The sequence below is a fragment of the Homo sapiens genome, chromosome 17 (genome assembly GCF_000001405.40).
Source record: "Homo sapiens chromosome 17, GRCh38.p14 Primary Assembly".
NCBI lineage: Eukaryota > Metazoa > Chordata > Mammalia > Primates > Hominidae > Homo > Homo sapiens.
Window position 1 is genome coordinate 42,480,185 of NC_000017.11, and position 26,337 is coordinate 42,506,521.

The window sequence follows — 26,337 nt, forward strand, 5'->3', positions numbered from 1 at the left end:
CCCTGCCCCATAAAGTCCAGATTAGCTTGAATTGTGAGATTCTATATCAGCATTCTTTCCAGGGACTCAGTTCCTTGTAGTTATTCAGCCCCTTTTATCTAAGAATTTCTAAGTCCCAGAACAGGCAGAAATGGCTTCCTTCTCTTTTCTCTCCTATACTTTCATCATTCAGGCAATATAAGATTTAAAGCTGAATTGGTAAATAAGTCTAAACAGTGCTAAGAGGAGCATCATCTTAGCTTCAAGCTCCTGGTTGAGTCAAAAAAACAAATAGAGAAAGATTTTTGTGAATTAGAGATTATAGGGCAGATGTTCTTGTAGTGAAGCTTAGGAAATGGAGTGAGGGCAGTGGTTAAAATGCAGGACTGCCATGTCCTTAAAAGATGCCTGTTGTTCTTGCATCACCAAAAAAGTGGGTTATTTAAGAGATTTTCATCCAGATACAGAAGTCTGAACTCTTGTTTTTTTATTCTGGGGCCTAGGGCGACTACGTGCACAAGTCTGTGTTTATCATTTTCTTCCAAGGCGATCAGCTGAAAAACAGAGTCAAGAAAATCTGTGAAGGGTAAGAGAGGCATGCCTCTACCAGGAGTGCACAGCCATGCTGCCCAACTGTTGAGTCTTAAAGTTCACAATAGTGAAATACAAATCCTTTTTAGTCTACCTCAACACAGTTAATTTTAATAATGTTAGGGGCTATTTTAATCAATTAGAAATAGCCTGCATTCATTTTTATTTTTATTTTTGTTGTTCAGATGGGGGGGTCTCACTCTGTTGCCCAGGCTGGAGTGCAGTGGCATGATCACGGCTCACGGCAGCCTTGACTGCCTGGGCTCAGGGGATTCTCCTGCCTCAGCCTCTAGGGTAGCTGGGACTACAGGCGTGTGCCACCATACCTGGCTAATTTTTTGTATTCTTTGTAGAGACGGGGTTTTGCCATGTTGCCCAGGCTGGCCTGGAACTCCTGGACTCAAGGGATCTGCCCATCTCAACCTCCCAAAGTGCTGGGATTAGAGGCGTGAGCCACTAAATTCTTTTTCTCTTTTTTTTTTTTTTCTGACCGAGTCTCCCTCCACGCCCAGGCTGGAGTACGATGGTGCGATCTTGGAGCACTGCAACTTCTGCCTCCCAGGTTCAAGTGATTCTCCAGCCACCCGAGTAGTTGGGATTACAGGTACCTGCCACCACACCTGGCTAATTTTTTTTTTTGTATTTTTAGTAGAGATGGGGTTTCGCCATGTTGGCCAGGCTGGTCTTGAACTCCTGACCTCAGGTGATCCACCCACTTCAGCCTCCCAAAATGCTGAGATTACAGGTGTGAACCACTGTGCCTGGCCCTAAATTCATTTTAAAAAATACCATCAGAACCACAGTTGTGGCCAGATACAATGGCTCATGCCTGTAATCCCAACACTTTGGGAGGCCAAGGCAGGAGGATTGCTTGACCCCAGGATTTGAAGACCAGCCTGGCCAACTTAGTGAGACCCCATGTCTATAAAAAACTAAAAACTGAAAAAAAAGGACCATAATTTCCTTAACTTGGGGAAAAATAACTCTTAAGGACTCATGGTTTATAAATGCCATATTATTCTGGGACAGTGAGTCTCCATACTTAGCATAGATGCTATGTCCTTAAATTTTCTGAAATTCTGCCTTAGGGACAGATCTTTTTTTTGAGACAGAGTCTTGCGCTGCCACCCAGGCTGGAGTGCAGTGGCACAATCACAGCTCACTGCAACCTTCACCTCCAGGGTTCCAGCGATTCTCCTGCCTCAGCCTCCCGAGTAGCTGGGACTGCAGATGCGTGCCAGCACACCCGGCTAATTTTTGTATTTTTAGTAGAGATGGGGTTTTGCCGTGTTGGCCAGGCTGATCTCGAACTCCTAATCTCAAGCAATCTGCCCGCCTCAGCTCTCAAAGTACTGGTATTACAGGTGTAAGCCACTGTGCCTGGCCTTTTTTTTGTTTTGTTTTTGTTTTGAGGCAGGGTCTCACTCTGTTGCCCAGGCTAAAGTGCAGTGGCATGATCACAGCTCACTGCAGCCTTGACTTCCTGAGCTCAGTTGATTCTCCCACCGCAGCCCCATGAGTAACTGGGACTACAGGCATGTGCCACCATGCCCGACTAATTTTTGTATTTTTTGTGGAGATGAGGTTTCACCATGTTGCTCAGGCTGGTCTTAAACTCCTAGACTCAAGCAATCCACCTGCCTCAGCCTCCCAAAGTGCTGGGATTACAGGCGTGAGCCACTGCACCTGGTCTAGGGGCAGAATTTTTTCCATGCCATCTTACTCCGTTAATTTACAATATAATTTGCTTTACTTTTTTTTTTTAATCACAAAGGAATTTCATAGCTACAGAGAATGTCAAGATAGTTCGGATGCTATAATTGCTCCGTCTGCAGGTCATTTTACGTAAGTGTTGACTTAGGCTGGGCATGATGGCTCATGCCTGTAATCTCAGCACTTTGGGAGGCCGAGGTGGGTGGATCGCCTAAGGTCAGGAGTTCGAGATCAGCCTGGCCAACATGGTGAAACCCTGTCTCTAGTAAAAATACAAAAATTAGCCAGGTGTGGTGGCAGGCGCCTATAATCCCAGGTACTTGGAAGGCTGAGGCAGAAGAATCACTTGAACCCAGGGGCAGAGGTTGCAGTGAGCTGAGATCGTGCCACTTCACTCCAGCCTGGGTGACAGAGTGAAACTCTGTCTCAAAAAAAAAAAAAAAAAAAAAGTGTTGACTTAATACATCGGTCTGACCTAATCCTGTTTTGGTCCTTCTGGTACATTAGGATTACTTTCTGAGATTATTTAAATTAGATAAGTTAAGAAACTTCGATGTTCTTATATTCCAGGTTCCGAGCCTCACTCTATCCCTGTCCTGAGACACCACAGGAGAGGAAGGAAATGGCTTCTGGAGTGAATACCAGGATTGATGATCTCCAAATGGTATGCAGAAGGCTGGAGGGAATTTGTTTTTGTGAAATACTGGAATACGAGACCATTATCCTTCCTTGAAATGCTGATATTCTATAAGGTACCTGTAGCAAACCAGGATACCAAAAAAAGAAATGTACATGGGTAATATGTCCTTCTGGGAGCTGAGAAAGTATCAGGGAATGATGGTTAAAAATAGCATTAGCCATCCTCAAACGAGACAGGAATGTAAAGCATCTAGAATCGTTGTTGCCTAGCATATTCAATTCCTCTCCACCTCATGGGTCTGAGATTTTTTTTTTTTTTGAGACAGAGTCTCACTCTGTCACCCAGGCTGGAATGCCATGGCGCTGTCTCAGCTCACTGCAACCTCCGCCTCCTAGGCGCAAGTGATGCTCCTGCCTCAGCCTCCTGAGTAGCTGGGATTACAGGCATGTGCCACCATGCCCGACTAATTTTTGTATTTTTATTTATTTTTTTGAGATGGAGTCTTGCTCTTTTGCCCAGGGTGGAGTGCAGTGGTGTGATCTTGGCTCACTGCAACCTCTGCCTCACAGGTTCAAGCGATTCTCCTGCCTCATCCTCCCAAGTAGCTGGGATGACAAGCATGTGCCACTAAACCTGGCTAATTTTTGTATTTTTAGTAGAGACAGGGTTTCACCATGTTGGCCAGGCTGGTCTCAAACGCCTGACCTCAAGTGATCCTCCCACCTTGGCCTCCCAAAGTGCTGGGATTACAAGTGTGAATCACTGTGCCTGGCCTAATTTTTGTATTTTTAGTAGAGATGGGGTTTTACCATATTGGCCAGGCTGGTCTTGAACTCCTGACCTCAAGTGATCCACCTGCCTCAGCCTCCCAAGGTGCTGGGATTATAGGCGTGAGCCACTGCGCCCAGCCAAGTCTGAGATAGTTTTTTTTGTTTTTTGTTTTTTGTTTTGTTTGTTCGTTTGTTTGTTTTTGAGACGGAGTCTCTGTCACCCAGGCTGGAGTGCAGTGGCGCGATCTCGGCTCACTGCAAGCTCCACCTCCCGGGTTCACGCCATTCTCCTGCCTCAGCCTCTCGAGTAGCTGGGACTACAGGGGCCCGCCACACGCCCGGCTAATTTTTTGTATTTTTTAGTAGAGACAGGGTTTCACCGTGTTAGCCAGGATGATCTCGATCTCCTGACCGTGTGATCTGCCTGCCTCGGTCTCCCAAAGTACTGGGATTATAGGTGTGAGCCACCGCGCCCGGCTGATAGTTTTTATGATAATAATTTTTTAAAAGTATGCTTAGTTAAGACAAATATATATCAAACAATCTAAAAATACATGAGTAGTCAGTTCTGCCTTCTCCCACACACCCTCCTGAGGCAGCTGGTCCCAATAGCTCGGCATGCATCCTTGCGGTCACCTTTGATCTTAACCACACAGACTAGCCAAAAAGCTCTGGTGTGACTTTTGTACCCAAGAAGAGACTGTGTTGGAGTTTTGCCAAATTGCAGTAAGTGTGGTTTATGCACACCACGGTTATCACAGGGCTCTGAGGGAGGAGTTGTGAACTGTGTGTACATGGAAGGAAAGGCTGGTGAGTGGGGCTTTGTTCCCTTTGAAAGAATGAAAGTGATGATTGCCCCCTTAGAATATTAATAAACATACTTAATCCCAAAGGCAGTTCCTTTTGGCAGTGGCAGAATTGTCAGGAATTGTCAGGGGTATGTTGTAACTTCCATTTCTTTTTTCTTTTCTTTTCTTTTTTTTTTTTTTTGAGACAGAGTCTTGCTCTGTCTCTCAGGCTAGAGTGCAGTGGCGCGATCTCGGCTCACTGCAACCTCTGCCTCACAGATTCAAGCAATTCTCCTGCCTCAGCCTCCTGAGTAGCTGTGATTACAGATGCCTGCCACCATACCTGGCTAATTTTTGTATTTTTAGTAGAGATGGGGTTTTGCCATGTTGGCCAGGCTGGTCTTGAACTCCTGACCTCAGATGATCTGCCTGCCTCGGCCTCCCAAAGTCCTGGGATTACAGGTATGAGCCACCGTGCCCAGCCTGTAACTTCCATTTTAACTCTCAGTGACCTCCATCATATATGACCCACCAACCTGACCTATTGCTGGCTCCTTTGAGATACACTTAACCTGTTTAAGCAGAGAGAGAGAGTTTTAGAACTGCTGGTGAGTGATAGGCTATATTAGTATATTCTGGGTTCTAAGGCTGTCTTAATCTCCTTCCAGACCTATGGGTAGATTTAAAGAGCATATGTGGTAGTCATTATAACTGACCAGAATTTGATTTTTTAAAAATCTAGCTGTAGGAACTGAAAGTTTAAAAAGGGATTGAATACCAAGGAATGGGATGAGGAAAGAGAACGGCAAATAGAACATTGCTTGCTAGTTTCTTTAGCATCCTTCTAGAAGAAGGGTTTTTTGTGTTTTGTTTGTTTGTTTTGTTTTGTTTTGTTTTGTTTTGTTTTAAAGACAGATCTCACTCTGTCACCCAGGCTGGAATGCAGTGGCACAATCTTGGCTCACTGCAGCCTTGACCGACTAGGCTCAAACAATCTGTCTCAGCCTCCCAAGTAGCTGGGACTACAGGTGCCTGCTGCCATGCCCAGCTAATTATTTTTTGGTATGTTTTTGTAGAGATAGGGTCTCACTATGTTGCCCAAACTGGTCTGGAACTCTTGACCTCAAACAATCCTCCTGCCTTGGCCTCCCAAAGTGCTGGGATTACAGGAGTGAGTAATAGTAATTGTGAAATAGTCCACAACCAGAAGGAAAGAAAGTAGCTATCTTCAAGTGATGTGTTTCCTAGCATGACATGGCTTTGCTTTTAAAAACAAAGCAAAACAAAACAAAGGAAGTCACCTTCCTCTGCCCAAGACAATTTTTCAGGGAGTAGTTACTGCTTTGTTCTGAACTAACTTGAAGAATTGTCTATGATGGAGACTTGTGCTTTGGGTTGCTTGCCTAATTTCTTCCAGTTGGAAGCAACAGGCTTAGCCACACCTGCTATTAAAAACTTAAATATGGGCTGGACATGTTGGCTCATGCCTGTAATCCCAACACTTTGGGAGGCCGAGGTGGGTGGATCACGATGTCAGGAGTTCGAGACCAGCCTGACCAACATGGTGAAACCCCGTCTCTACTAAAAATATAAAAATTAGCCGTGCATGGTGGCGCGCGCCTGTAATCCCAGCTACTCAGGAGGCTGAGGCGGGAGAATCGTTTGAACCCGGGAGGTGGAGGTTGTGGTGAGCTGAGACCACGCCACTGCACTCCAGCCTGGGCCACAGAGCGAGACTCCATCTCAAAAAAAAAAAATTAAATATTTGGTATTAAGCCAGTGGAATGTAAAATGTTCCTGTACCTTCCTCCCACCTTAGTCTTGGCACTGTAATTCCTCTGAGGGAAATCTGTACTGATTTCAAAAGGATCAACACTGAACCATTTTTTCCTCTGATGAGAAGCCTGACATAAAGGTAACACCTTAGCTGCCCTCATGATGGCAGTGGTATGTGGCAGTCCAAGCCCCCTGTAAAGATCACAGGTGCTCCTGATCCCATGGCGTCTCCTGGCCCATGTTCCCAGTGTAGGCTGGTGGTGGTATTCAGCACTGCCTCTTTCCACCCTCTCCTGATGCTGGCCCATGTGCAAAGGATTCTGTGTGGATTTGTTAATTTGTCAGCTCCTGGGCTTGTGATGCCTACTGAGTTACATTCCCCACATAGAAAGTCGTTGCTCTTTAATAAGCCAAGTTAAAGGCAGTGACCTACATTTGTTGTGCCTTGGATTGGTGGTAAGATTGAACATATATAGAAAAGCTAAACTATTTTCTCAGGTTTCTTTTTAGGTTGAAGCTAAATAAAAGTGAATGTTAGTAACTAGAACTCTAATTTCTTGTAATTTGGAAAAAAGAAACCATTCTAGCCAGAGGAAGAAAAAGACAATTCCCTGGCAACTCTTTTCAGAAAGCTATGCCTCTTTGCCATTCATACCCTGAGATCTAAAACTGGTGTTAAAAGGATCCCTCGCTTGTTCCTTTTCTCCCCAAAGGTTCTGAATCAAACGGAGGATCACCGCCAGAGGGTTCTGCAGGCAGCTGCTAAGAACATCCGTGTCTGGTTCATCAAAGTGCGGAAGATGAAGGCCATCTATCACACCCTGAACCTGTGCAACATAGATGTGACTCAGAAATGCTTGATTGCAGAGGTCTGGTGCCCTGTCACCGACCTTGACTCCATCCAGTTTGCACTCAGAAGGGGCACGGTGAGTCCCCAAAGCTAACAATGCAGCTCGTGGCCCGGAAGAGAGGTTCCCATCAATAGTAACATTAATGTCATTTTTGGCCGGGCGCGGTGGCTCATGCCTGTAATCCCAGAACTTTGGGAGGCCGAGGCGGGCAGATCATGAGGTCAAGAGATCGAGACCATCCTGGCTAACACGGTGAAACCCCGTCTCTACTAAAAAATACAAAAAATTAGCCGGGCGTGTTGGCAGGCGCCTGTAGTCCCAGCTACTCTGGAGACTGAGGCAGAAGAATCAAGTGAACCTGGGAGGCGGAGCTTGCAGTGAGCTGAGATTGCGCCACTGCATTCCAGCCTGGGCAACAGAGCGAGACTCTGTCTCAAAAAAAAAAAATAATAATAAAAAATAAATAAATAGTAACATTAATGTCATTTTTATGGCATTTCACCTTCAGAGTTCTTCAATATATTTATTTGTCTTTTAACTTGACAGCACATTTCATACATAGCCTGGCATATAATATGTATATCATAGCGTAGCATAGCATATCTTTATTTTGCATATGTGGAGACTGCAGTTCAGAGAGCTGAAATAATTTGGTCATATGCCCATGATTCTTCAGGGTTGTTCATGGCCAGGGCATCAGTTTCCTGATGCCCTCTCTGTATATGACTGTTTCTGTTTAGTAGTTAATTAGAACAACTACTCTGTCCACAGAAGTGCTGTAAGTGCCTGGAGGAGTACAGAGATGTATAAAACATGCCCTCGAGTATCTTACAGTTTATTAGGAGAGTTCCAACTATGGAGTTGGAAAAAGCTTTAAGCAGGTGGCATTTGATCAGGTCTTTGAAGAATGATAAGTTGTTGGTAAGACTGCTGAATGAAGAGAAGAAAACAAAGGCAGGAAGTATGGTTAGACCATGTATGTTTGGACAAGAACAGGATTTACAGTGGGTTAGCTGAAGAGAAGTACCTGTCTGCATCAGGTAGTTTGGAACTTAATTGTGAAAGGTTCTTAAATAATAGCTTAGAAGATTTAAATTTTATTCCAGAGGAAGTTGAGAGACATTGGAAGTTCTTTAGGGGTAAAGGAACATGATCAAAGCAGTTTGGGTGGTTTTTTACATTTTTAATTTTGTGTTTGAGACAAGATCTTGCTCTGTTACCCAGGCTGGAGTGCAGTGGTGCCATCTCAGCTCACTTCAGCTTCCAACTCCTGGGCTTAAGCAATCCTCCCACTTCAGACTCCCGGTAGCTGGGACTACAGGTGCCCACCATCATGCGTGGCTAATTTTTTGTAGAGACAGGGTTTTGCCATGTTGCCCAGGCTGATCTCAAATTCCTGGGCTCGAGTGATCTGCCTTCCTTGGCCTTCCAAAGTGTTGGGGCCAGGCGTGGTGACTCACTCTTGTAATCCAGCACTTTGGGAGGTTGAGGCGGGTCATCACTTGAGGTCAGGAGTTTGAGACCAGCCTGGCCAACATGACAAAACCCCGTCTCTACTAAAAATACAAAAAAGTTAGCCAGGTATGGTGGTGGGTGCCTGTGATCCCAGCTACTCAGGAGGCTGAGGCAGGAGAACCACTTGAACCCAGGAGGCAGAGGTTGCAGTGAGCTGAGATCATGCCACTGCACTCCAGCCTGGACAGCAGAGTGAGACTCTGTCTCAAAAAAAAAAAAAAAGTGGGTCACCACGCCTGGTGGATCAAAGCAGTTTTTTTGTTTTTTGGTTTTTTTTTTTTTGAGATGGAGTTTTGCTCTTGTTGCCCAGGCTGGAGTGCAGTGGCATGATCTCGGCTCACTGCAACCTCCACCCTCCACCTCCCTGCTTCAAGTGATTCTCCTGCCTCAGCCTCCTGAGTAGCTGGGATTACAGGTGTGCGCCACCACACCCAGCTAATTTTTTGTATTTTTAGTGGAGACGGGGTTTCATCACGTTGACCAAGCTGGTGTCGAACTCCTGACCTCAGGTGATCCACCCGCCTCAGCCTCCCAAAGTGCAGGGATTACAGGCATGAGCCACTTCTCCTGGCTCAAAGCAGTTTTAAAAGAGTAATCTGCTGATAGTATCTAGGTTGGATTGAGGAGTGAAGAGATTCTGTAGGTAGGGGTTCAGTTAGGAGGTTATTGTAGACATAGAGTAGTAAATGATAAGGATCCCCAGGTAGGACTTGACAATGGGAAAAAAAATGATGAATTGTGAGATGTTCTGCAGGAAAAATCAATAGGGCTACCTGGTTCCTAGCAAGGTGCAGGAGAAATACAAGGAGAAAGATTTAAACATCTTTTTGAGGCATCAAAGCTGACTGGCCAGGAGAATTAGGGTTCCAATGAGGGAAGTAAATGTTCAGCCAGAGAAGCTTATTGATTGGGGAGAGATGGTAAGTTCAGTTCCGGGCACATTGAGGTCTATGTGGAAATGTCAAGCAGACAAGGGAACAAAGCTAAGGAAATGGGAGTCATGAGAATGGAAGGGAATGAGACCTCCAAGAGGGAGGTCATAGAGAGAAAAAAAAGGTTGGGGTCTTGCAATGCTATGAGATAGGCAGAGCAGAAATAACCAGCAAAGATAGAAAAGCAATGGTCAGCGAGCAGGAGGAGAACTCCTAAGGAAGAAGGATTTTCACCAAAGATCTCCAATGTCAGGGGCGTGCATGGGGGAGAGAAGCTCTTTGGTCAGGAGCCAGTCACTTTGCCTAAGCATGCTCAGCCAGACTGCAAGGGATCAGGAAGTTAAGAGAAGGTAGTGAAGAAGGAGAGCCAGAGAACATACTTTGCTTTCTCCATGAAAGGGGGAGAACAACTTTCATAAAAAGGCAGATATGGAGGCAGTTCCACATTTTCTTTGGTGACATATTTTAAAGTTAAATTTTTTTCACATTAAGGATGTATTTCAGAGGATCTAATAGAAATCTTCCATTATAAATGTTATACCTTTTCCCAGTTTTCCCAAAAGCTGGGAAAGATAATCTAGTTTTATTTTTAGGTTTATTAGTTTTATTGAGATATAATTTACATGAAAGAAAATACATACATTTTATGTGTACCATTTGATGAGTTTCAAGAAATGTACACCTGTGTAACCACTACCACAATTAGGAGGATAACCTAAGTTTGATAAATGTGCTAATGTTTTTCAGGAACACAGTGGTTCCACTGTACCTTCCATTTTGAACAGGATGCAGACAAACCAGACTCCCCCAACCTATAACAAAACCAACAAGTTTACCTATGGCTTTCAGAACATAGTAGATGCTTATGGAATTGGAACTTACCGAGAGATAAATCCAGGTAAAAAAAAGCTTGTTATCTTTTTCCTCTAGAGTTTTTTTTGTTTGTTTGGTTGGTTTGGTTTGTTTTGAGACAGAGTCTCCCTCTGTCACCCAGGCTGGAGTGCAGCAGCACGACTGTAGTTCACTGCAGCCTCAAACTCCTGGCCTCAAGAGATCCTCCCAACTCAGTCTCCTGTATAGCTAGGACCACAGGCGCACAGCACCACACCTGGCTAATTTTTTATTTTATGATTTTTTTTTGACTGGGTCTCATTCTGTTGCCTAGGCTGTAGTGCAATGGTGAAATCACGGCTTACAGCAGCCTCAACCTCGTGGGCTCAAGTGATTCTCCCGCCTGAACCTCTGGAGTAGCTGGGACTACAGGCATGTGTCACCATGCCTGGCTAATTTTTAAAATTTTTTTAGAGATGGGTTTTGCTATGTTGCCCAGGCTGATAATTTTTAATTTTTTTTAGAGACGGGGTCTTGTTATGTTGCCCAAGCTAGTCTTGGACTCCTGGGCTCAAGGAAGCCTCCTGCTTCAGCCTCCCAAAGTGCTGGGATTACAGGTGTGACCCACTATGCCTGGCCTTTTTGTTCATTGTTTCTTCTAATGCCTCACTTTAAATGCTGTTGAATAACTGAATTAAAATTAAAGATGTTAATCCTAGCACTGTTTTTTTAATTTAATTTTATTTTTAATTTTTTTTGAGACGGAGTCTCGCTGTGTCACCCATGCTGGAGTGCAGTGGCGTGATCTTGGCTCACCGCAAGCTCTGCCTCCCAGGTTCACGCCATTCTTCTGCCTCAGCCTCCCGAATAGCTGGGACTACAGGCACCCGCCACCATGCCCGGCTAATTTTTTTTTTATTTTTTTTAGGTGAGACAGAGATTTACTCTCGTTGCCCAGGCTGGAGTGCAATGGCACGATCTCAGCTCACCACATCCTCTGCCTCCCAGGTTCAAGCGATTCTCCTGCCTCAGCCTCCCGAGTAGCTGGGATTATAGGCATGTGCCATCACGCCCGGCTAATTTTGTATTTTTAGTCGAGACGGGGTTTCACCATGTTGCCCAGGCTGATCTCTAACTCCTGACTTCAGGTGATCTGCCTGCCTCTGCCTCCCCAAGTGCTGGGATTACAGACGTGAGCCACTGCGCCCGGCCATTTTTTTGTATTTTTAGTAGAGACAGGGTTTCACTGTGTTAGCCAGGATGGTCTCGATCTCCTGACCTCATGATCCACCCGCCTTGGCCTCCCAAAGTGCTGGGATTACAAAGTGCTGGGTGGCGTGAGCCACTGCGCCCAGCCAATCCTAGCACTTTTAGAGGCCGAGGTAGGAGGATTGCTTAAGCCCAGGATTTCAAGATCAGCCTGGGCAACATAGTGAGACCCCATCTCTATTAAAAAATAAATAAACATGTTGACACCTCAGATCTTGTGTACTCCCTGTGAAGAGGTGCTCATTCTGGCAGGGCATGGTGGCTCACGCCTGTAATCCCAGCACTTTGGGAGGCTGAGGCATGTGGATCACATGAGGTCAGGAGTTTGAGACCAGCCTGGCCAACATGGTGAAACCCTGCCTCTACTAAAAATACAAAAATTAGCCGGATTTGGTGGCATGCACCTGTAGTCCCAGCTACTCGGGAGGCTGAGGCCTGAGAATCACTTGAACCCAGGAGGCAAAGGTTGCAGTGAACCGACATCATGCCACTGCACTCCAGCTTGGGCAACAACAAAAAGATGCCCATTTAATGTAAGGGGCAGGTTTACTGTCAGGTAGCGTTCCTTTAAGAGTTCATCGGCTGGGCCAGGTGTGGTGGCTCACGCCTGTAATCCCAGCACTTTGGGAGGCCGAGGCAGGTGGATCACCTGAGGTCAGGAGTTCGAGACCAGCCTGACCAACATGGAGAAACCCCGTCTCTACTAAAAATACAAAATCAGCCAGGCATGGTGGCTCTTGCCTGTAATCTCAGCGACTCGGGAGGCTGAGGCAGGAGAATCACTTGAACCGGGGAGACGGAGGTTGCCGTGAGCCGATATTGCATTATTGCACTCCAGCCTGGGCAAAAAGAGTGAAACTCTGTCTCAAAAAAAAAAAAAAAAAAAAGTTCATCGGCTGGGCGTGGTGGTTCATGCCTGTAATCCCAGCACTTTGTGGGGACAAGGTGGAAGGATCACTTAAGGTCAGGAGTTCGAGACCAGCCTGGCCAACATGGTGAAACCCTATCTCTACTAAAAATACAAGAAAATTAGCCAGGCCTGGTGGTGCATGCCTGTAATCCCAGCTACTCAGGAGGCCTAGACAGGAGAATTGCTTGAACCCAAGAGACAGAAGTTATAGTGAGCCTAAATTGTGCCACTGCACTCCAGCCTGAGTGACAGAGCAAGACTCTGTCTCAAAAAAAAAGTTCATGAGACTGGATTCTTTCATGTGCCCTCACAGCCCTAAAACACCTGGACTTCTCTAGCAAATCATTTGCAGGAACTGTTTTAAGCAAAATGTTTCTTCTAAGATGTCTGATATTTTTAAATGGCTTTTTTTTTGGCTTCCCTGTTCCAAGGTTAGACAGAAAAAATGTAGCAAGTATTGGCCACTTTAGGTACAACACAGATTTCTCCTATATTTGGAGAGTTAATTATTAAATCAAGAGTGTGAGTATTCATTTTCAGTTGGAGCCCTATGGAAGAACTGCTTTGCTCTGGGCTCTCTCCATCTGTACGTTATCTGATATTTAGCTTTATATCACTGGGACATGGTTGCTGCACAAAGAGAAGACAGCTGGCCTGCCCTGGGAGCAGGGTCCCACGAGTTACAAGAGAGTCAGAGAACAAACCAATGTTGTCAAGGTTACACCTTCATTTCCACTGTTCTTTGTTTGAAATGTTATCAGAGCTGCCAGGCACAGTGCCTCATGCCTGTAATCTCGGATATTCAGGAGGCTGAGGTGGGAGGATTGCTCAAGGCCACAAGTTCAGGACTAGCTTGGGCAAAATAGTGAGATTCCATCTAAAAAAATATTATTTATCAGTAATTTTAAAACAAAATTAACTGGGCATGGTGGCACATACTTGTAGTTCCAACTGTTTGGGAGGCTGAGGTGGGAGGATAACTTGAGTCCAGGGGTTGCAGGCTGCAGTGAGCTGTGATGAAACCACTGCACTCCAGCCTGGGTGGCAGAGAAAGACCCCATCTCTCTTTTAAAAAAAGTTATCAGTAGCTCAAATTTCATTAGCTACTTTGTGAAGATGTGTTGATTCTGCCATGAAAGATTTTCTCTGAGAGTCCTATCTGTCTGGCAGCTGGGGAGTAAGTCACCTTATATTGATCTTAAGATTATGGAAGCCTGGGCACGGTGGCTCACGCCTGTAATGCCAGCACTTTGGGAGGCCGAGGCAGGTGGATCACTTGAGGTCAGAGTCGGAGACCAGCCTGGGCAACATGGTGAAACCCTGTCTCTACTAAAAATACAAAACTTAGCTAGGCATGGTGGTGGGCACCTGTAATCCCAGCTACTCAAGAGGCTGAGGCAGGAGAATCACTTGAACCTGGGAGATGGAGGTTGCAGTGAGCCAAGATTGAGACATTGCTGGCTGACAGAGCAAGACTCCATCTCAAAAAAAAAAAGGGGGGTGGGTATGGAAAAGAATGTAATATTTGTGGAATTGCTATGGTTTAATGTACTTTGTATTTTTCTTTTTTTGGTTTCTTCATAGCTCCGTATACTATTATCACGTTCCCTTTTCTATTTGCTGTGATGTTTGGAGACTTCGGTCATGGCATTTTAATGACCCTTTTTGCTGTGTGGATGGTACTGAGGGAGAGCCGGATCCTTTCCCAGAAGAATGAGAATGAGGTAATGTTTAAGTTACATCTGCATTGAACTGAAATTTTATAATTTCCCAAGCATTCATTATGAAAATTATGATCTGGAAGTCTTTTATCCATGAATTTATCAAAAGGAAGTAGAGAAGTTATGTTCATTTTAACACCAAAGACGACATGTGCAAGCTGGAAGTGGTAGTGTGTGCCTGTAGTCCCAGCTACTTGGAGGCTGAGGCAGGAGAATCACTTGAGCCCAGGAATTCGAGACCAGCATAGGCAACATAGTGAGACCCCATCTCTAAAAAAATAAAAATTATTTAGGTTTGGTGCAAAAGTTATTGCGGTTTTGGCTGCCAAAAGAAATGGCCAAAACCGCAGTAACTTTTGTGCCAACCTAATAAAAAAATAGAGGCCACATCCTGTGAAAGTGACTGTCTCATTAGCATTGTATTTTGGTTTTTACTTCAAGCTCTCTGAATCAGGATGGGGTAAAGTAGTGCTGGAGAAAGGGGCAGGTATATTCTGAATAACATTGTCACAATGTGAGCTGCAGTGAGTACATTCTCATTACTTCTTTCTTCTGGTTCCCAGATGTTTAGCACTGTGTTCAGTGGTCGATACATTATTTTATTGATGGGTGTGTTCTCCATGTACACTGGCCTCATCTACAATGATTGCTTTTCCAAGTCTCTTAATATCTTTGGGTCATCCTGGAGTGTACGGCCGATGTTTACTTATAATTGGACGTAAGTTGCAGAAGAAGCTAAAATTCAAAGCTTATTCCTTTCATGTGCAGCCCTGATTTTTAAGACAAGTGGTAAACTGACACTTCTTTAGGAAGTGGTGACAGTGTCTCCTCATTCATGCTCCACACTGTGAGTTGCTTTGTGATTTGTTCAGCAAGTATCCAGGAACTAAGATTAGAAATGATTTTTTTTTTTTTTGGAAACTAAAACCAGATTCCCCAGTTCCCTACTTGATTGTGTGTTTGTGTGTTTAATTTTTCTTTTTGTCATTTTGGATCCCTCAGTCTCAGCTGCTAGTCTCTCCTCTTTATTTTTCCCCTCCCATTTTATTGAAGAGACAAGATAGCTACAGTAATTTATTTTGGGGTCAGTTTCTGGACCCTTGTTGTTTCCCTCTCTTGTTCAAAAATAATGTGACTTTTTCCCTGTCATGGTAGTGAAGAGACGCTTCGGGGGAACCCTGTTCTACAGCTGAACCCAGCCCTCCCTGGAGTGTTTGGTGGACCATACCCTTTTGGCATTGATCCAGTAAGAGGACTTCCTTCCTATATGCTAACCTCAAATTTTTTAACACTAACCCTGAAGCAAGAGAATTAAAATGAAGATAAATAGTTATGTGGGCTTTCACTGGGCATGGTCGCTCATGCCTGTAATCCCAGCACTTTGGGAGGCCGAGGAGGTGGGATCACCTGAGGTCAGCATGGTGAAACCCTATCTCTACTAAAAATAAAATATTAGCCGGGCGTGGTGGCGCATGCCTGTAGTCCCAGCTACCCGGGAGACTGAGGCAGGAGAATCGCTTGAACCTGGGAGGCAGAGGTTGCAGTGAGCAAGCTGCACTCCAGCCTGTGTGACAGAGCAAGACTCCGTCTCAAAAAAAAAAAAAAAAAAAAGAAAGAAAGAAAGAAACAAACAAAAATAGTTATGTGGGTTTTCGTTGACATATTTTTGGGAAACCTTGATGTATGTATTCAGAGGACTTCTAAGCCATAAGAGACCCAAGTGCCTTGAGGAGCCACATACTTTTCCCTGCGCTGCTTATTTCTGAGGTGGTTAATAATATCGACTCTGGGAAGATTGATTTTTCAAGACTCCTTCCCATTTCTTAATTTATTTCTGCTTACTTAGTTTGGTTTTTTATTTTTAGCAGACATTTTAGCAAAGCAGAAATATATTTTTCCTGTGGATTTTAGACTTGCATTCTTATATTTACGAACTTACAAAAACTTATCCGAGAATTAATTTTTTTTTCAAATGCTTAGGCAAATTAAGTATGATCAAGTCTTCTTTATTGTGTGCTGTAAAAATGGAGTGGCGGCAAGAATGTAATACAGGGCATCTGACTGCTGAGGAAAAAAAAAAATAATACAGGCTGGGCGAGGTGGCTCATGCCTGTAATCCCAGCACTTTGGGACACAGAGTCAGGTGGATCACTTGAGGTCAGGAGTTCGAGACCAGCCTGGTCAACATGGTGAAACCCCATCTCTACTAAAAATACAGAAATTAGCTGGGCACGGTGGCATATGCCTGTAGTCCCAGCTACAGGAGGCTGTGGAAGAATTGCTTGCGCCCGGGAGGAGGAGGTTGCAGTGAGCCCAGATCGTGCCACTGCACTCCAGCCTGGGGGACATAGCAAGACTCCATCTCAAAAAAATAGATGGAATGACAGCACCACAGGGCTACAATCAGCGAAACATAGACTGTGGGAAAATATATAAGATAAACAACCCAATTTCTTCAAAAGAAATTTTGTAATGAATGAAAAAGGAAAGATGGAAGGAGAACCTGTAGTTTAGAGACTCAAGAGATATATCTACAATCATAATGTATAAGCCAGGCACGGTGGCTCACGCCTGTAATCCCAGCACTTTGGGAGGCCGAGGCAGACAGATGACTTGCGGTCAGGAAATTCCAGACCAGCCAGGGCAACATAGTGAAACCCCATCTCTACCAGAAGTATAAAAATTGGCCGGGTGTGGTGGTGCACGCCTGTAGTCCTAAGGCAGGAGGCTAAGGCAGGAGAACAGCTTGAACCTGGGAGGCAGAGGTTGCAGTGAGCCAAGATCACGTAACTGCACTCCGGCCTGGGTGACAGAGTGAAGACCCTGTCTCAAAAAAAAAAAAAAAAAAAAATGGTTTGGACACAGATCAGAGAAATTTGAATATTGACTATATATTTTATGATATTAAAGAATCATTGTTAGCTGGGCACGGTGGCTCACACCTGTAATCCCAGCACTTTGGGAGGCCGAGGCTGGTGGATCACGAGGTCAGGAGTTCAAGACCTGCCTGGCCAAGATGGTGAAATCCCATCTCTACTAAAAATACAAAAAAAATTAGCCAGGCGTGGTGGCGAGCACCTGTAATTCCAGCTACTCGGGAAGTTGAGGCAGAGAATTGCTTGAACCCAGGAGGCAGAGGTTGTAGCGAGCCGAGATCATGCCACTGCACTCCAGCCTGGGCGACAGAGTAAGACTCCATCTAAAAGAAAAAAAAAAAAAAGAAATCATTGTTAATGCATTTACGTGTGATGACAATATTGTGGTCATGTTTTAAAAATAAGTCCTGGCCGGGCGCGGTGGCTCACGCCTGTAATCCCAGCAATTTGGGAGGCCAAGGCGGGCGGATCATGAGGTCAAGAGATCGAGACCTTCCTGGCTAACATGGTGAAAACCCCACCTTGCAATAGGCCGAGATTTCACCACTGCACTCCAGCCTGGGTGACAGAGCGAGAGTTCATCTCAAAAAAAAAAGAAAAAAAAAAAAAGCCTTACTGGCCGGGCGCAGTGACTCAAGCCTGTAATCCAAGCAGTTTGGGAGGCCGAGGCAAGCCTCAGGCCAGACCTGAGGTCAGGAGTTTGAGACCAGCCTGGCCAACATGGTGAAACCCCATCTCTACTAAAAATACAAAATTAGCTGGGCATCGTGGCCTGTGCCTGTAATCCCAGCTACCTGGGAGGCTGAGGCAAGGCAGGAGGTGGAAGTTGCAGTCAGCGAGATCATGAACACTGCACTCCATCCTGGGCAAAAAGAGCGAAATTCCATCTCAATAAATAAATAAATAAATAAATAAGTCTTTTCCTTTTAGACATCCACACTGAAATATTTACAGGTAAAATGACATGATATCTGGACTTTTTAGTAATGTGGAGATGAGTGAGTGGCAGTAATCTTTTTTCATGACTATAAGGTGATGTTAATTTTTGAAGCATTCTCCTCAAAAGCAAGATTAAAAAAAAAAATTTTGTCGAAGCAGAGTGATAGGTGCCTGGGAGTTTGTTGTACCATCCTGTCTGCTTAAGTATCTGTTTAGAATTTTCCATAATAAATAATATTGATTAATAAATAAAAATTGTCGACCGGGCGCGGTGGCTCACGCCTGTAATCCCAGCACTTTGGGAGGCTGAGGCGGGCGAATCACGAGGTCATGAATCGAGACCATCCTGGCTAACACGGTGAAACCCTGTCTCTACTAAAAATACAAAAAAATAGCTGGGCGTGGTGGCAGGCACCTGTAGTCCCAGCTACTTGGGAGGCTGAGGCAGGAGAATGGCGTGAACCCGGAAGGCAGAGCTTGCAGTGAGCTGAGATCACGCCACTGCACTCCAGCCTGGGTGACAGAGCGAGACTCGTCTCTAAATAAATAAATAAATAAAAATTGTTTTTTAAACAGAGGAATATTTTTCCCTTTGAGAATTCTTTATAATACCTATTTGTTTTCTCGGGTTATGACAGATTTGGAACATTGCTACCAATAAACTGACGTTCTTGAACTCCTTTAAGATGAAGATGTCTGTTATCCTTGGTATCATCCATATGCTGTTTGGAGTCAGCCTGAGTCTGTTCAACCATATGTGAGTTGTTCCATTTCTGTCATAAGAATGTGCATAGTTTAGAGAATGCTTTTGTGTAAAGAAATCATGACATCTTTGGGGAGGGATTAATAACTCAGAACCTCATTCTACATTATAGAAGTGCTTTTCTAAAAATTTAATGGTGTGGCCAGGCGCGGTGGATCATGCCTGTAATCCCAGTACTTTGGGAGGCCAAGGCCGGTGGATCACCTGAGGTCAGGAGTTCGAAACCAGCCTGGCCAACACGATGAAACCCCGTCTCTACTAAAAATACAAAAATCAGCCAGGTGTAGTGGCACGCGCCTATATTCCCAGCTATTCGGGAGGCTGAGGCAGGAGAATTGCTTGAACCTGGGAGGCAGAGGTCGCAGTGAGACAAGATGGCACCACTGCACTCCAGCCTGAGCGACAGAGTGAGACTCTGCCTCAAAAAAAATAAATAAATAAATAAATTTCATGGTCTGGCCGGGTGCAGTGGCTTACACTTGTAATCCAGCACTTTGGGAAGATGAGGCGGGCAGATCACTTGAGGTCAGGAGTTCAAGACCAGCCTGGCCCACATGGTGAAACTCCGTCTCTACTAAAAATACAAAAAATTAGCCGGGTGTGGTGGCGTGCACCTGTAATCCCAGCTACTCTGGTGGCTGAGGCAGGAGAATTGCTTGAACCCAGGAGGCAGAGGTTGCAGTAAACCAAGATAACACCACTGCACTCCAGTCGGGGTGACAGAGCAAGACTCCATCTCAAAAAAAAAAAAAATGTTGATGGTCTTAAATTAGACTTAATATTAGTCCTTTAACAATTTACTGTTCCAGTAAAGATCCTTGAAAAAAACTTGAGCAATTTTCATCAAAATAAGTGAGGTCTCTTTTTTTCCTTGATGTGCAACTCACATAAAATTATTAGCTGTGGACTGGGTGTGGGGGCTCACACCTGTAATGCCAGCACTTTGGGAGGCCAAGGCAGGCGGATCACTTGAGCCCAAGAGTTCAAGACAAGCCTGGGTAACACGGCAAAAGACCCCATCTCTACAAAAAAAAAAAAAAAAAAAAGTTATGAACTGTGGTCTCAAAATGTACTAGATTTTTCCATTCTCTTTCTCATGGAGAGAATGGTGGGGATGGTATTGGAGCCGTTCAAGGTTCAAAAGTTTAAGGCCTGGCACAATGGCTCACATCTGTCATCCTGCACTTTGGGAGGCCAAGGCGGGCAGATCACCTGATGTCAGGAGTTCAAGACCAGTCTGGGCAACATGGCAAAACCCCATCTCTACAAAAAAATGTAAAAATTAGCTGGGTGTGGTGGCGCATGCCTGTAGTCCCAGCTACTCGAGAGGCTGAGGTAAGAGGATTGCCTAAGCCCAGGGAGGTTAAGACTGCGGTGAGCCAATATTGCACCACTGTACTCCAGGCTGGGTAGCAGAGTGAGACCCTGTCTCAAAAAAGAAAAAGCAACAGCAAAACAAAACCAAGGTTCAAAAGTTTGACCGTGATAGTTAATCCTGCATTGTCTCTGTTGTCTCCAGCTTCTGGTTGCTGCTGCTTAAAGTGATAAAGACAGAATTGAGGGGGTATTAAGTAGAAAAATCTAGTGAATACTCCATTCAGTGTAGGAGTGGCCCTAGGCCCATTTACCCTTAACATTTTTTTCTCTCTCCTTTTTAGCTATTTCAAGAAGCCCCTGAATATCTACTTTGGATTTATTCCTGAAATAATCTTCATGACCTCTTTGTTTGGCTATTTGGTTATCCTTATTTTTTACAAGTGGACGGCCTATGATGCTCATACCTCTGAGAATGCACCAAGCCTTCTGATCCATTTCATAAACATGTTCCTCTTTTCCTACCCAGAGTCTGGTTATTCAATGTTGTATTCTGGACAGGTACGTCAGCCCAGAGGCAGACTGTCTGAGATGATTATACTTGATCAGGAAGCCAGATGTTTCTCTGACCCTAAAAAATTTATAACTGCCCTTCTATGGGACAATTCTAGGGCTTTGCCACAAAATGTGATAATTATTTTGAGAAATTGGATAGTGTTATTCATAGATTAGTAAGAAAGTACTGTTGGGGGAAATTTGTGCCATATTTGGAAACTGCGTATGTGATCGGTAGACTTTTATATGATGTACCTTGTCCTTCTTCTTACTCTGCAGAAAGGAATTCAGTGTTTCCTGGTAGTGGTTGCACTACTGTGTGTACCTTGGATGCTGCTGTTTAAACCATTGGTCCTTCGCCGTCAGTATTTGAGGAGAAAGCATTTGGTAGGTGTATTTCTATTGCTAAAAGTTACTAGACTTTTGTTTTGTTCAAGATCAAGGCAATTCCCCAGTGGATATAATTAATTGTGCACAAATCTATATATTCTTTTTCTTTTTCTTTTTCTTTTTTTGAGACGGAGTCTCGCTCTGTCCCCCAGGCTGGGGTGCAGTGGTACGATCTTGGCTCACTGCAACCTCCACCTCCCAGGTTCAAGCAATTCTTTTGCCTCAGCCTCCTGTGTCACTGGGATTATAGGTGTACGCCACCACACCTGGCTAATTCTTGTATTTTTAGTAGAGACGGGGTTTCACCATGTTAGCCAGGCTGGTTTCGAACTCCTAACCTCATGATCCGTCCACCTTGGCCTCCCAAAGTGCTGGGATTACAAGCGTGAGCCACCATGCCCGGCCACAAATCTGTATACTATTAAAACGCATTTGTGGCCGGGCGCAGTGCCTCACTGCTGTAATCCCAGCACTTTAGCACTTTGGGAGGCCGAGGTGGGTGGATCACTTGAGGTCAGGAGTTTGAGACCAGCCTGGCCAACATGGTGAAACCCCATCTTTACTAAAAATACAAAAATTAGCCAAGCGTGTTGGCGCGTGCCTGTAGTCCCAGCTACTTGGGAGGCTGAGGTGGAAGGATCGCTTGAATCTGAGAGGCGGAGGTTGCAGTCAGCCAAGATTGTGCCACTGTACTCCAGCATGGGGACAGAGTGAGACTCTGTCTCAAAAACAAAAAACCAAACAAACAAAACGCATTTGTGTTATGTCCCAGCACGAGCACTGGGCCTGCCAAGTCAGAGAAACATGTCTGCTGCTCAAGATATCTGGATTCAGCTTTGAGTAGCTAGAGGAGAGAAAAGTCACAAATTTTTACCTTTCCTGGTCATGCTTTTGCTCACGCTGCGCTCAGGAAAATGTAGGCCTATGCCTGTCTAGATGTAGCATCAGCCAAAGCCAAGCAAAGCTGCAAGAGCTGCAGATGGGTGAACTCACTCATGCGGTTTGCCTGGGCAACCACAGGACTGACATTGAGACATTTTCCTTTCAAATGAGACTGTGATAACTTTCACTGACCAAAACATCTGGGAAAAAGGTTTGGTTTAAAGCACGTTGATTTTTTTTCTTTTTAAAAAGCAGCATATGTATATACGTTTACTTAATGTCTGTGTGTATATGAATTCTGCGCGCGCACACACACACACACACACAGAGTTAAATTTGCGAGATGTTCAGTATCATGCATAATTTCTGGGTATCCAATAGCACTTACTTTACACTGCCTGGGAAAACCCAAACGATCTTGTTGCATGACTCTTAAACGGCTGTTAGATGATGACTCCCGTGGAGAGCAGCTGAGTTACAAGACCCTCCTTCTCCCTTTTCTGACCATCTTCATCCTTCCATGTACCCTCCATTTGTCTCCCCACTTCACTCCCTCCCTCTTTTGTTTTCTTTCCCCTTCTTCTTTTCTTCCATTCACTATCAGGAAGGGCAACCTGTGGAGGCCCCAGTCAGCCCAAACCCGAGCCAACAGGGACTAGAGGCAGCAGCGGCTGCAACAGTGAGTGAATTAAAACCAACAAACCATCACATTTCATTTAAAGAGGTGGCAAACAGTGCAGCAGAATTCTTTTTAATTAAATTGAGAGCATGGGACATGTGTACTTTTGGGAAATATGTCCTTGTTACTCACTGAGATGATGACAGAAGTTCCACCTCTTAAGAATAGATTCTGGCATCATCTTTAGCATTGGTCTACTAAGTTTCTATTCAAAAATGTAAGTACAGGCATGTCCATGGCAACAAAGTGGCTTGTTGTACCCTCACTGAGTCCCATCATCTTAATCCAAGATGACAGCTCTTGGACTCACCCACTTTCATGTCTGTATTTTGTGACCATGTATTGGATGATTTTTCAGCATGGAAGCGAGAATATCTCTGTGATTCTTGAATTGATTTCCCTGCACTTTAGAGTTCTACTTTAGAGTGATGCTTGGACATTTGATCTTTTTTAGTAGTAACTTACCTTCTTTTTGAAAGTGAAAGTTTATACATGTTTAGTTTTTTGTGAGAAACTCAGAAGACCTCACATGTCCTCAGCTGTTCCAGTGAGACCTCTGCTCTCCGATGTGTCGTGTGTACTGTCATCTGGTGTCATAACCAAAGTGATCTGTCTTGATCCTTCCCTCTTCTGATACTAATTCAAGATTCAGTAACAGCACTTTGAATATTTGTCCTTAAAAACATCTTTTAAACAAAATCTTACAATGCACAAATATATTAGCCTAATATATTCTAAGTTATGAATGAATCTATAAGATTGTAAAAGTCTCACCAGTAGTGATTACGCATTACTTCTATGTGCTCGAAGCATATACTTCTTTAAATAAAATGAAAGATTTAGATGGATAACCATTTCCTTCATTAAGTGTTTCTGATGATTTTAAACTTGGAAAATTTCTTATGGTCATCCTTCTGGAACTAGTCTAAGTCATCCTTCTGGAACTAGTCTAAAAGGGCTGACATTTTGAGTCAGAAAAAATTTTAATCTTGCTGCTTAAAATACATTTTCAAGTAGGGACTTCCCTGTGAGACATTTAACAAACCTTTAGAACACATACTACCTATTGTCAATGTCCTTAACACATACTCTTTTTTCTGCTAGTCTTAGCATATATAAGATGTGCTTCTGACAAGATCTTAATGCATTTAAGTCTTGCGACTTCTTCTGTGATAAATTCTAAGTTAAAAGTTCCCCGTTTGGAAACCTGCACATTCATAGGGTCTTCTTACCCCACTGGTTCTTTAGCCAAACATCTGTTCCTGGAGAGCAGCCTGAAGGCATCAGGATGATCAGTCTACAAGAAAGTCTCTGGATTTTTGACCCCAGAGGGCTGAGGATATGAACAGTGATCTGGTTTTGTTCTGTTCTTTGTCCCCTTGGTTGTCTGTGAGTGATATATCACAGTTTAATTTTTCTTTTCTTTTTTCTGCTGACATGTGTCTCTCATCCCCCTTCCTGTAACTCTCATTCCTGTGTTCTGAAGAGATCATTATTAGTGTCTGGCTGGGAGATTTAACCTGTCTGCTCCTCAGTTTATCTGCTAGTTGGAGAAAGCTTCAGAAATGGCCTTCTACTTTGGGAGCCTTGAACCTTGAAGCCTTCCTCCTATATCTTATAACCCAGCCGAGGTTATGCAGGAGTCCCCTCCTGTGCCCTTCGTTGCATTTTCAGTCCACCTTCTGAGGGTTGCCAGGTGGAATATGTGCATGACCTGGAGGTGTCCAGGCTCTGGTGGCCCACAAGTCTGACTGCACATCACAGTCACCTGGTAGACTTTGAATTTGTTTCTTAGGGTATTAAAACAAATAAGTGGAAGAAGAAATAAAAGTGGCCCATAATTTCATGGTCCTGACAATCCCCTACTGACATTAAAAAAATAAAGCAATAGGTGCACTTGGCTAGAGAATGCATATAGTGCTAACTAAGAAGAAAACCACCTGCCCCCACTACAGTCCTCCTCTTCAGGGGGCATTGTTAACAGGTGGGGGCCTTGCCTCTGACAGATATCTGCCTGTCTTCTATTGATAGGTGTGTGTGTGCTCTATGCATCTAGAAAAAGACACATGAGGAATTGTGTTTTAAACTGTGGCACTGTTCTGCCTCTCGATCTATTACGTTTTTTAAAAGTTAGTGTATCTTGAAGATTGTTTCATAGTGATAATCACTTTTTTTTTTTTTTTTCTGAGATGAAGTCTTGATCTGTCACCCAGCTGTAGTGCAGTGGCACGATCTCAGCTCACTACAACCTCCACCTCCCAGGTTCAAGCAATTCTCCTGCCTCAGCCTCATGAGTAGCTAGGATTATGGGCATGCACCACTACGCCTGGCTAATTTTTGTTTTGTTTTGTTTTTGAGATAGAGTCTTGCCCTGTCGCCCAGGCTAGAGTGCAGTGGCACGATCTTGGCTCACTACAACCTCCGCCTCCCCAGTTCAAGCAATTCTCCTGCCTCAGCTTCCTGAGTAGCTGGGATTACAGGCACCCACCACCTCCCCCGGCTAATTTTTGTATTTTTAGTAGAGACAGGGTCTCACCATGTTGGCCAGGCTGGTCTTGAACTCCTGACCTCGTGATCCACCTGCCTCAGGCTCCCAAAGTGCTGGGATTACAGGTGTGAGCCACTGTGCCTGGACTAATTTTTGGATTTTTAGGAGAGACGGGGTTTCACCATGTTGGCCGGGCTGGTCTCGAACTCCTGACCTTGTGATCTGCCCGCTGTGGCCTCCCAAAGTGCTGGGATTACAGGTGTGAGCCACTGTGCCCAGCTGACTATCACTCTTTTTTATGGTTGCCTAGCATTCCATAGAATATTCCACTGGACATGCCAAAGTCATTATCTCTTTGATGGATGTGTTGGTTGTTCCCAATTCTTTGCTATCACAAACAGCAATTCAGGGAACATCCTTTTTCATATGTCTTTTTTTTTTTTTTTCTTGAGACAGAGTCTCGCTGTGTTGCCCAAGATGGAGTGCAGTGGTATGATCTCAGCTCACTGCAACCATCACCTCCCGGGTTTCAGCAGTTGTCCTGCTTCAGCCTCCAGAGTAGCTGGGATTACAGGCGCCCACCTCTACGCCCAACTAATTTTTGTATTTTTAGTAGAGACGGGGTTTCGCCATGTTGGCCAGGCTGATCACGAACTTTTGACCTCAGGTGATCTGCCTGACTCGGCCTTCCAAAATGCTAGGATTACAGGCATGAGCCACCGCGCCCAGCCCCTTATCCATATACCTTGCCAAAGTTTTGCAAGCCTAGATGTTCCAGCAGTGGGATTGCTGAATCTCAAAGGGTTCATGCATTTAAAATTTTGATAAACCCTTCACAATGATTATACAATTTGTACTTGGGAATATATTTTTAAAATACAGATTTATTGGGCCCCACCCCAGAACTACTAAATTTACAATTTCTGGGAGTAGTATTTGAGAATTTCTATTTAAAATGCAGCTTTTGGGGTAATTCTAATGCAACTAGTTCTCTGACCAGCATGTTAAGGACCACTGCTAGAGTAGGAGGGAGGATTTGTGCAAATAATTAGATCTGAGGTGGGCATTAAACTGTGATGAGAGCTGTGGCAAAAAATGGCACACCAGGAGGTGGAGCTGAGGATGAGGAGCGCAGGGCAGCTGCGCAGGCCTCCTGCACGCTACT

General features: G+C 44.5%; 1 protein-coding gene and 1 non-coding gene across 39 annotated transcripts in view, besides 1 other annotated feature; both read left to right on the plus strand.

Moving 5' to 3' along the window:
• Nucleotides 1-26,337, plus strand: part of ATP6V0A1 (ATPase H+ transporting V0 subunit a1) — a 63,702-nt gene that overhangs the window by 21,307 nt on the left and 16,058 nt on the right. For 32 of the 38 annotated variants that reach the window (XR_007065303.1, XR_007065304.1, XR_007065306.1 and 29 more), the window contains 10 exons: nucleotides 483-565; nucleotides 2,854-2,947; nucleotides 6,971-7,183; nucleotides 10,303-10,453; nucleotides 14,150-14,289; nucleotides 14,850-15,004; nucleotides 15,442-15,532; nucleotides 18,740-18,858; nucleotides 20,523-20,739; nucleotides 21,013-21,120. Coding sequence is in view for 33 of the 38 variants with exons in the window: in NM_001378531.1 (NP_001365460.1) it covers nucleotides 483-565; nucleotides 2,854-2,947; nucleotides 6,971-7,183; nucleotides 10,303-10,453; nucleotides 14,150-14,289; nucleotides 14,850-15,004; nucleotides 15,442-15,532; nucleotides 18,740-18,858; nucleotides 20,523-20,739; nucleotides 21,013-21,120 (1,371 nt within the window). In the remaining 5 variants the exon portion in view is untranslated. Of the gene's footprint in view, nucleotides 1-482; nucleotides 566-2,853; nucleotides 2,948-6,970; nucleotides 7,184-10,302; nucleotides 10,454-14,149; nucleotides 14,290-14,849; nucleotides 15,005-15,441; nucleotides 15,533-18,739; nucleotides 18,859-20,522; nucleotides 20,740-21,012; nucleotides 21,121-22,609; nucleotides 22,685-26,337 lie in introns of all 38 variants that reach the window. The other 6 variants (NM_001378534.1, NM_001378530.1, NM_001378535.1 and 3 more) reach the window with 3 other exon arrangements.
• Nucleotides 4,457-4,516: a silencer, noted in NCBI's record as "silent region_8530". NCBI's record gives its function as "represses an Ori minimal core promoter by ATAC-STARR-seq in GM12878 lymphoblastoid cells {active_cell/tissue: GM12878}" and the evidence as "EXISTENCE:reporter gene assay evidence [ECO:0000049][PMID:35858748]".
• MIR548AT (microRNA 548at) lies at nucleotides 14,589-14,646 on the plus strand. The gene has a single exon (NR_049845.1). It is a non-coding gene; the product is annotated as a microRNA 548at (primary transcript).